We start from the raw sequence: 11,213 nt of genomic DNA, 5'->3' as shown, positions 1-11,213 counted from the left end.
GTAGTTGGATATGGCAAAGCATAGGTACCTAAAAGGATATAGCAGAAGATGGGGCTAAGAGAGAAGTTTTGAAAAAGTTTTTGTGGGAACATAAAATTGAGACTAAGTACTTTGGACTTTGATCATCCAAACAAAACCACTGAAGGTATTTAAGGAGGGAGTATAAGCTTGCAACCCCCATGGCTATTAAAAAGTTGGAGTGGAAACCAGGAGAGTGAAAGCTGGGACCCTTTAGGAAGCTCTAGCAGCATACCAAGCAAAAGATTGATGTTAAGAACTGAATTAGATCAGAGGCAGAGGCAGTGGAGAGGAGGAGATGGATGTGGCAAGTATCCTTAAGGCACAGTTGAAGGGCTTAGGCAACCAAATTGGTGTGGGTTGAGGAGAAGTTCTTTGACTCCAATATTTCAAGTTCAAGGGTGGCTGCGAGGATGCTGGTGTCATTACTGGGAAAGAGAACTCAGGAGGAAAAGTATGTTTGGTCTATCTTCAGTTTTGCAAAGGTTGAGCTTGAAGTCCAGGAGACACATTTATGGCACTCTGAAGAGGGTGGTATAGTGGTTTCCAGCCTGAAAATCTTTATTGGTCTAAATTTGGAGTGACCAGATTATTTTTGAGAAGCAAAATTGCAAACATCACAAAGAATTTCTAAATAAATAGTAAAAATGTTATGGAACAATGTAACACTCAATATTTTTCTTTGACTCTTTTTTTTTTGCCATGTCATTTTAATCCTTTCCTTCTCTTTCTGCTTCCTGGAGGCCATTAACCAAAGAAGAAATGCTTTACTTTCTGAAGCTCCTGATCAATTTGGTGAGGTCCAAAGGAATAACATGTTAAACATAATTTGAAAAGTTTTGCTCTGTTCTGAAGTTGGACCTAAAATTTGAAACCACGTGTCTCTGAGGTACATGCCTCCTCTCTAATGCAGACTGGAGGTGTTCAATAATGTCTAATATGCCCACTGTGACTGGTGACTCCAAACCAGGACAACCAGCTAGTATTGCATGGTCAGCTCCCAATAACAGCAAATTTTGAACATAAAACCTTGATTTTGAAAAACAGTCCTGGGCACTGTCTCTTCTCTGCAGCCCTTGCTCCCATCCCGTGAGTACCCTGCTCCTGACTGTTTTGGGGCTTTGCTTTCCATTTTTTTCCTCACTAAAGCATTAATTTTTTTAAATTTTAGGTTCAGGGGGTACATGTGCAGATTTGTTACATGGGTATATTGTGTGCTGCTAAGGTTTGGGCTTCTAATGATCCTGCCACCCGTGTAGTGAACATAGTACCTGGTGGATAGTTTTTCAGCCCTTGCCCCACTCTTTCCCTCTCTGCTTTTAAAGTTCCCTCTTATGTAACAAACCTGCATGTCCTGCAGATGTATTCCAGAACTTAAAATAAAATAAATAAAATTCCCAGTGTTTATTGTGCCCACCTTTGTGCCCAGGTGTACCCAATAGAACATACTTCTTTATGGCTGCATAGTATTCCATGGTGTATCTGTAGCAAATTTTCTTTATCCAGTCCATTGTTGATGGACACCTGGGTCGACTCCTTGTCTTTGCTGTTATAAATAGTGCTGCAATAAACATACATCACTAAAGCAGTTTTAATCTACCAGAATACTTGGCCTTTCTGTTTCTTAAAATTGTAGTAAAATATACATAAAATTTTTCATGTGAATCATTTTTAAGTGTACAGCTCAACAGTGTTAAGTACATTCGCACTGTTGTGAGACCAATTTCCAGGACTCTTTGCATCTTGCAAAACTGAAACTGTGTACCCATTAAATATTGCTGCCTCCCCACAGGCCCTGACAACCATTCTACTTTCTGTCTTTATGAATTTGCTACTCTAAGTACCTCATATGAGTGGAATCATACTGTATTTGTCTTTTTGTGACACTTTCCTGGTTTTGATCCATTTCTCTGGGTAGAATTTAAACTCACCTTAGGCATTGTCACTTTGTGTACCATTGGCTTGGACTCCGGAACCCCACTGGCATCCTATTGGGCCCACCAAGGGCATAACAGACGTGAAGAAAGAATGCTTTAGCTATATGTAATTTCCTGTATTCAGTCTGCTCTTGTTCAAATCATAGAACTGGAAGAAATCCTGAAGCTCAGAGCATTTGGGCTCCTGTCTCATGGCAAAATGTGCCACTACTTTTACCCTTCTCTCCCTGCCCAGTTCTGCGTACAGATTAAATACCAACAGGAAGAATGCAGGATCCTGCAAGCAAAAAAACTCTAATAAAGGGAACTCAAAGAGTGAGAATATAGACAACGAGGAAACAACCACACCAGAAGTTTGGTGTTTATATTGCACTCTTCCTCTGAAGACAGTGACATGCTTACCAGATATTATCTGAACAGTGAGGCAAGTCCTCAAGGAAATTGCAGTCTGACAAATTAATCCCCCCTAAGAAATGTGCTACCAGATGACCTTGTTTGATTTGAAACTGAAGATGTCACCTGTGGAAACTCAGAAAGGAAACTTGGTCAGTGGGACTGATCCGTACGTAGCCTTAGGGGCGTCTTGAGTGGATGGATGTGGTTATGCGGGTGGGTGAGCACTTCAGAATCATAGCGCTAGCATCCCTGGATTAGTGAGCTTACCCAACTCAAGCTCACAGTGAGAGTGGAAGAGCACACCCTGTTTATAAAGCTCTCTGGAGAAAATCTTTACTAATTGGGAAACTCATCGGTCAGACTGGTTCTTTGTTGTACTCAGCTGTTAGCACGATGCCTATCATGCAGCAGGAACTCAGTACGTATTTGCTGAATTATTTAAAAAGAATACATATGAGACAATATTATTATTTTAAAATCTCCAAATCTTTCATTTCTCAGCCTGCAATTTGAGCCTATATCTGTCATGGTTAACACTTAGAAAGCAGCATAGTACATTTAAATAGCATTTTAAAGATTCCAAGGAGATTAAGAAGGTGCATTAGGATGTGGGACCTGCATCCTCTACCTGAACAACTCAGGCTATTGGGTCCCTGGGACTTTTTTTGTGACCTCCCACCAATTTAACAGTTTGTTCCTGTTGCTTCATAAAATGTACAATTGGAAAAGCTAGTATAAAGCAGTTTAGTTGTTAAAAGAGGGGAAAACAGAGAGACCTGGCTTCAAGATTCTATTTTTTTTCTACCTAATGGAAATACCAGAAACTGAAAATATGCTGGGGCTAGAATCGTACTAGTTTCAAGAAACTGGTTTCTTGAATGCTTTCACAGGAAGCCAGGGCTCAGTTTCACTTTCAACCATGAGGTTCCCAATACAGTCTAATCCCTGACATGTAGGCAAATCAATTCCCAATGGGGACATAGAACAAGGTTAGAATCTCTAAGGAGAGGGGCAGAGAGTTTGAATGTATTAACCTGTCAACCTGACTCCCTGGATCACACTGGCCTGGAGTCAGATCCTCTGCTTCTTTTTAAAGATGGAAGTGAGGCAGCATAGAGCTCACAAAGAGAGAAAGAGAATCCTCTGGATTTTTGTGGTTGTTATTGTGTGTTTGTTGGTGGTGGCTGTGAGAAGAAGTAGTGCTGTTAAAACTATCTTTATTAGTTCATTTTCATGCTGCTGATAAAAACATACCTGAAACTGGGAACAAAAGAGGTTTAATTGGACTTACAGTTCCACATGGCTGAGGAGGCCTTAGAATCATGGCAGGAGGCAAAAGGCACTTCTTACATGGCGGTGGCAAGAGAAAAATGAGGAAGAAGCAAAAGCAGAAACCCCGATAAACCCATCAGATCTCGTGAGACTTATTCACTATCACAAGAATAGCACGGGAAAGATCGGCCCCCGTGATTCAATTATTCCCCTTAGATCCCTCCCACAACACGTGGAAATTCTGGGAGATACAATTCAAATTGAGATTTTACGGGGACACAGTCAAACTATATCACTATCCATGCAATCATAGTATAATGTAGAATTTGTATTCAAGGTTTACAGCAGGGCTAACACTGCTTACCGTATGTCTAACTAATTTTGCCATAGTCATATGGCAAAGTCCCTTTCCTTGCAGGGAATTTGGGGCCACTTTCTACATCTATACCAAGCTTGTCCAACACAACTTATTTTGTTTTGGTTGTTCTGTTTTGTTTTGTTTTAGGATTTTAGCAGCCTGAAGCCATGGTTTTTAGCTTCTGTCTCTAGTGATATGTGGAAAAGAGGGATGAGGAAGGGGCTTTACTGGCCCAAGCAAAACAGAAACTAAGAACTCATGACTGTAATCTCTCCCTTGGACACAGCATTGATCTTGTACCATCATCTTGGTAGTTTTATGTCATGTTATTCCAAGACACATGAAACGAAAACCTTCTTGGGGAAGTAGGTACAGGTAGTAGTAAGTAATAACACCTTAAAAATCAATGTTTTCTTGTTTCAGGCTAATGCCTTTTTCATTTGATACCTATATTTCTTCACTGTGACTGGTTTTGGATTGTGGGATTTTAAGAAGCCGAAACCACACCTATGAAATTCTCAGGATACGGTGCCTGGTACAAAGTTAATTATTTATCGAATGCCAGTGAGAGAATACAAAAAGAGAAATGCCATGGTCTTTGCCCAGAAGGAGCTTTCAGTGTAGTTGGAGAAATAAAATAGGCACACATAGGTCAGTTAGTGAATAAAGTTCTAAAACATGAGCTAATAGTTTAATATTCACAGTAAGTATAAAAAAATTGAATTGGAACTCTTCTGAAGAGAAGAAACATGGCCAGGCCCCAAAAGATGTATAGGTGTAGAGAGGGTCTCTGTTGTATTGCCCCCAACTCTCACTCTCCCTTCTTACGATAACAATATTCTGATTTTGCTCTGGAGAACTAACTGCCACTTTGCCACTTTCAGCCCATGTGTTTCAGATGACCTTGACTCCACTCTTGTCTCCATGGGTATCATATGACCAAATGGTAAGTCACCAATGTATTCCTTCCTCTGGCCACCGTTGGTTCAGGGATGAACACATGACCCAATTCAGGTCAATCGGAGCTAATAAGACTCAATCAAGAACTTTTTGAGTTGTCATGAAGGGTCCTCTCTTTTCAACTGCAGTCATTTTCCTCCACAAGGGGCAGCATGACTGAAAATGGAGTCAACTCAGTGTAGGGAAGAGCTGAGATGCAGAGGAACTGAACCTGGTGACATCATTTGAGCTGCTGAATCCAGCTGTGCCTGAAACCAGTGTTACTCTTTACATTTTAGTTATGTAAGCCAATGCATTCTTATTTTTACTTAAGACATTTGGGTTGGGTTTCTGTTGCTTGCAATCCAAACAGACTTAACTCATGCAAGTGCACCAGGAGAGGCAGAGGGACAAGAATGATAAGTTAAAGGAATGGCATGAGTAAAGGAGAGGAGGCACCGTGTGTGGTGACTTGCACAAAAGAGAGAGGCTTTCATGCCTGGCACAGAGGCTGAGGCTAGGAAATAACCGGGCATTTAAGGTAGCGTCAAGTTATAAAGAGTCTAGGCCATCAGGCACTGAGGTTTAGAGTGAGTGGGAAGGAAGCAGGAGCCATAGTGATGTTTAGATCTAATGTATAACTCCACTTTTGGCGATTTAATTTCTCTTTTATCACTCCTGGGAATATCTGAAATATGGGACAGGCAGTCATTACTGATTTATACTAATCAATATAAATATGATAAAACCAAATTAATTAGCCTTCATACTAATTACACTCTGAAACTGACAAGGCTGCTTGCCATATGTAGACTCATTTGTTGATCTTGTGTGAGTGGTAGGCCTCGTTTATAAGATACATACGTAAGTATATATAAATAAGTTAGATAAATACATAAGTTAGCTTTCAGTAGGGATTTTCCACTTACACCCTTTGTTCTTCAAATGTGGGGATCCAAAAGTATCGCCATAATTTCTGGCAGTTACGGGGCAGTTTTGCCTAGGTGCTATTTGCTTACATTGACTCCTGTGGGTCACCTGCATCCAAGGATGTTTACTGACTCTTCCACTTACCATACCTCCTGCTGTCCTTTCTGGATGTCTCCCACTCTGCCGGAGGCCAGCATGTTGACTCTAATTGACCAGGAGGCCAGCATGTTGAGGTGACAGACTTGTCATTGTCCATTTGTGGTCAGATGAGCTCAAGCCAAGGCTTAGCCTTTTCATGGGTATTTTGACTTTAGTTTAGTCCCAGCTGTAGTCAATATTTTGAGTTTCTGATCTCTTCATAAGAAGTCTTAGCTAGATCTCAGAAGTCTCAGATTTATTTTATACTTGCCTGCCACAAGCTTGGTTTAAGACTTGGTCAGAGACTTATGTCAGCTCTACCAACCTGTGCTGAGGGGACAAAAGAGGGTCAGCAATGATGTGTCTCCAAGGGAATTCCTAGACAAACCACTGAAAGGACCAAATATTGGCCTATTGATCTTATCTTCTCTAAGATGCTTGTTAGATATTTAGTCTGGAGTTCAGATTAGATTTGTGTGTTAGGGTTCTCCAGGGAAATAGAACCAATAGTATATGTGTATGTACCTATATAGATGTATGTACATATAGATGTATATGTATGTATGTATGTATATTTAAAAAGTTTTAAGGAATTGGCTCAGCAAATATAGAGGCTGAGAAGTCCTACAATTTTCTGTCTATAAGCTGGGGACCCAAGAAAGCTGGTGGAATAGTTCTGAGAACCAGAACACTAATAGTGTAAATCTCCATCAAGAGCAGAAGACTGATGCCCCAGCTCAAGCATTCAGGCAAGAGAGCAAATTCCCCCTTCCTCTGCCTGTTTGTTCTACTTAGGCTCTCAATGGATTGGATGATTCCCACTCACACTGGGGAGGGGAATCTCCTTTACTGAGTTCACTAAAATACTAATCTCACCTGGAAACACCCTCACAGACATACCCGGAAATAAGGTTTATTCTTGGTACTCCAGGTCCCACTAAAGTTGACACATAAAATTAACCACCAATTAACTTAAAGTGAAGTTAATGCTTATGTTTACTTCAATATATTTCCAGTTAATCATGCTCCAGCAAAATGGCATTGGCTTACACCACACCTTTGCAAAAACTAAGGGGAAGATGGAGGTGGGTAAGATGAAGGTAGGCTACAGGATGACCTCATATCCCCTTGGTTTATGAGAGGAGTGTGTTGGTGTGGCCTGCTGGTGTATGGGACTTTCTCCCAATCAAAGGGGAGCACCAAGCTGAGGTCTGAGATATGAAGGACACAGCTGGCATCTGACACATTCTGCTTTTGTCTCACCCATTCTGGAGCTCTGAGTCTGATTTTAAGGACTTCAGTTCTCTGATTATGAGGAACACTAACTCCTTTACTCTTCTCTTCCGAATCATGCTCTTAGTCCAAGCTTTTTCTGTACCAAAAGCTCAAAATGGTGGAAATCAGTTTTAGGGTTGTGACATTTTCTCTCGCTCTTCTTCTTTCTAGGATTTAACTAAGTAGAGTCGATGGCATCATATTTGAAGAAATGCTGGTATTAGTTGGTCTGGGTTAAAGTTAAAAGTGATCTAGCTGTCAGCCAGAGACAGACCTCAACTCTTTTTCTTTTGGTAGCTTTTTCTTCCAAGGGACTTTAAACACCTATCTGATTTCTTTTAGTGAAAAGAATGAAGCAGTCATTTCTTATACCTGTTCATTAGGGAGTAGGTTTGCATTTTAGATCAGTGTTTTTACAACAGTATTAACTCTTTCCGAAATACTTATAAACAAGTGCACTCCCCACCCGCAACCCCACAAAGATATTGATTCAGAAGGACTGGGATGAGACACTCCAGGTGATTCTTATGTTTTCTAGTTTGAACACCTGTGCCTCCAAAGGATTTTGAACTTTACTTAAATCAGGTTTGTCTTCTAACAGATGAAATAAGGTCTCAGAAGATTTTCAGGAAATTAGTGAAACAGCTCAGAAGTGGAGGCTGGCTTGACTGTGCTGTTGTGGGATAAAGTGAGTTTTACTGTATTGCCAGCTGGGTTCATCTTACCCCCGCCATTTCCCGAAGTCGAACAATTTTGGTGGCTTTCTGTGATGCTTCATGTAGAGGCAGGAAACCATTCCAAACCCACGTACTCCCAGCACTGAGTCATCGCTGTGTCCTGACCTTTCCAATAACCTTGCTGTCAGAGCAAGTCGAAATCAGGAAACAGGTAAGCGACCTGCCTTCCTAACCTGGCAAACACATATATTTTGATAAAGCTATTGGCATGTTTAATAGAATATAATTAACTATTCAAACTCCATTTCGCTTGTTGGGGCTTCAAAGTGGGTTCTGGAGTGGCAAAACGATTTGGGGGGTTTCTTCTTGCCTTGAGCTTTATTTGAGGTTAGTTTTAATGAAAGACTTCAGGAGACAGTTATTCCAGAGGGAAATCTGTGTTGTCCATGGTGTAGGAGCTAATTCACATTTGCTTAAAATGAATTCACCTAATGGGATTAGATTTAAAATGTGACCATTAATTTAAAGAATATATCTACTGATTAACATCATAAGAAATTAGATTTCATGTAAAACGATCATATGTTTTGGAATATGAAAAATTTAGAACTCACTAAATGTTGAACATATGGATATCTCAGAAAGGATTAGTGCCTGGCACATAGGAGGTGCTCATGAATGATTCTTGTTGAAGGAGGAGTGGGATTTAAAGTATGAATTGAGTGTCTTGACTGAGAAACACCTCTGTGTTTAGTGAGAATAATAAAAATGTTCTCTTTATCAGCTGTTTATGATGTAAAATATTTCCTGGTGGTGATTAAGCAGTAAATAGTGGGTGTTTATTAGCTGGCCCATTTCAGACACTTTATATTTTCTTTTGCTTTAGTAATTGAACATAATAAATAATACTGTTGCCTGGACAGCAGCTGTTGTTTTATTCCCAAAAAGGATGCTTTGCTCAGATTGCTATCTTTTGTAGCATCAGCTGGCACTATTCACAGATAACAAACATAGGCAATACCACTTTTAATGAGTTGGAATGTGTTATGGGTTTGGGAATGAAGGTTTAAAGTTGTCGATTAGGCAAATTAAGCTGTCTGTGTACTTTCTGTCTGTACAGATGGCTGATTTTACAAAAGCTAATTTTCAACAGGGGTCCTTGTAGCTATTAGAGTTCTTTTATGTAAAAAACAGCAAGCCTCCCTCCCCAACCCTACAATTTAGAGAAAATGGTGCCTAGAGAGTATACTATTTGTGGTTTTAAGAAGTTGCAATGACAGACTTGTAATAAATTAATTGTTATCCTCTGTAAAACTTTAAATTGCAGTTTCAATATAGTGAAATCTTTGAATGAGACATTAATATTTTCTGTCCTTTTCTGAATAATGTGTTGATGAGAGAAAACAGTGCTTACATAACATTTTTACTAAGCAAGAAAAACGCATGTTGTCATTGAGAAGCAAAAGGAGTCTCTAAGAATTATGGGCAAAATGACCTGGAGTGGGGCAAGAAGTCAGTGTCAGACTTCCCAGTGCTTTAGTCTTTCTAAGCATCTTTGGAGGCAACTTGACCTATAAAGGTTCATTTTTCTCCTTAGTTGATTTTATTGAGGGTACCTGAACTGAGGTGCTGCCACACCTCTGTCACACTGCAAACCAGTTGTGGACCAAGAGGAGAGAAGTAGGAATTAGAAAGAGGACATTTGAACAAGGTGTTCTTCATCATCAGTTGAGGGAGGAAAACTGTGTACAATGTAAGGAAGCTCCCAAGACAGGCACATGCTATTTTAGGCTAAGGTTACTTGTTTGTAAGAAATGAGATTTAAGTTATATTAATGTGAATGTACATTTATCGTGTAGAAGACAGGGAGTCATCATGTTAAGGAGTAAAACTGCCTTTAGATATTTCAGTAAAAATAAGAGAGCTCCAGCATAGAGTTGAAACTATTGTTTTCCCTCTTCATCCCTCCCTGTCTGTCTCCCACCTCCCTCCATCATCAAACCAGAGCAAATATCCCTCCTCAGCCTCCTTTAGTGCAGAAGAGAGTTTTCTGTTGCACTGGGGTCTTCTACCACACAGAAGAGGTAGGAAGATGACTGAAAACTTGAGACCACAGCATACTTTCCCCTTGGCGGAAATGTGATATGCATGCACGCGCACACACACACACACACACACACACACACACACATACCCCTATATACCTCTAGAAGATAATAAAGGCTATGAAAATATTAAAACACAAGATAGGATCCAAGGGAATTAAGATTCTATAAAAACTTTAATACAATATAACCATCTCTGTTAGGTTTTTTAATTGAAATTACATTAGATTTATGTATTAATTTTGGAAGAATCTGTACTTTTATAATATTCCTAACCAAGAACATAGTATGCATCTTTCAATTTCTTCCTATCCTATTTTTTGTATTTCAATAGGATTTCAACTTTTCTTCATATAGATCTTTCTTCATATCGAATTCTCATTAAATGAACTCCTAGGCACTTTTCTTGTTATTGTTGTCATTAAAAACAGAAATTCTTTCCTGTTTCCATTTCTCAGTTATTGCTAAACAAGGACAATTTATTGATTAAAAAATCATCCTGTACCTATTCACTTCACACATTTATATTAATTCTCTCTTCTTCTTTTTTTTAATATATTCCTGTCGGTAAAGTGATTAACCTTGTTTTTCTCCAATGACTTTTACGTGATACTTATTTTTTCTAAAACTTGTGTGGCATTTGCTATCAATGGTAAATCAATAATGATGGTAGCAATCATCTCTCTAGTTCTTGACATTAATGACAATGGCTTTGTTTAAAAATTATTTATAATGGTATCTGCTGTTGATTCTTGATAATTTTTATTATATTTAAGTAGTTTTCATCTATTTAGTATCTCTATTAGAAATGGTGGTTTAATTTTGAGTCTTTTTTTCTGCATTTATTGATATCACATGGTATTTCTCCTGTAATTTCTTGATGTAGTTTAGTATGTTGATAGATTTTCAAATGTTGAAACTTCCTTGCCTCGTGGAATAAGTTCTATTTAATCATAATGTATTATTTTCATGTAGGGGTGAATCCCATTTGATGACATTTTATTTAGAAGGTTACATGAAATGGATCTAAAGTAAGTGTTTTTAAATTATCCAGGCTAGAACCTCTTTGTCAACTTTCCATGTAAACATGTGTTTGAAGTTGTGCCAGCAATGACTTTTCTTCCCACAGCTACTGGTGAAATCTTTTCCAACCCTCCAGGTCCCAATC

At 39.1% G+C, this 11,213-nt stretch overlaps 1 annotated feature.

The window, feature by feature from the left end:
- Positions 8,008-8,222: a silencer, noted in NCBI's record as "fragment chr3:100847709-100847923 (GRCh37/hg19 assembly coordinates)". NCBI's record gives its function as "represses an EF-1alpha promoter that drives an FKBP-Casp9 reporter gene in an ReSE screen in HepG2 liver carcinoma cells {active_cell/tissue: HepG2}" and the evidence as "EXISTENCE:reporter gene assay evidence [ECO:0000049][PMID:32094911]".

Source organism: Homo sapiens, chromosome 3 (genome assembly GCF_000001405.40).
Source record: "Homo sapiens chromosome 3, GRCh38.p14 Primary Assembly".
Taxonomy (NCBI): domain Eukaryota; kingdom Metazoa; phylum Chordata; class Mammalia; order Primates; family Hominidae; genus Homo; species Homo sapiens.
Note: the sequence above shows the minus strand (reverse complement) of the source record. Positions and strands in the feature narration are given on the sequence as shown.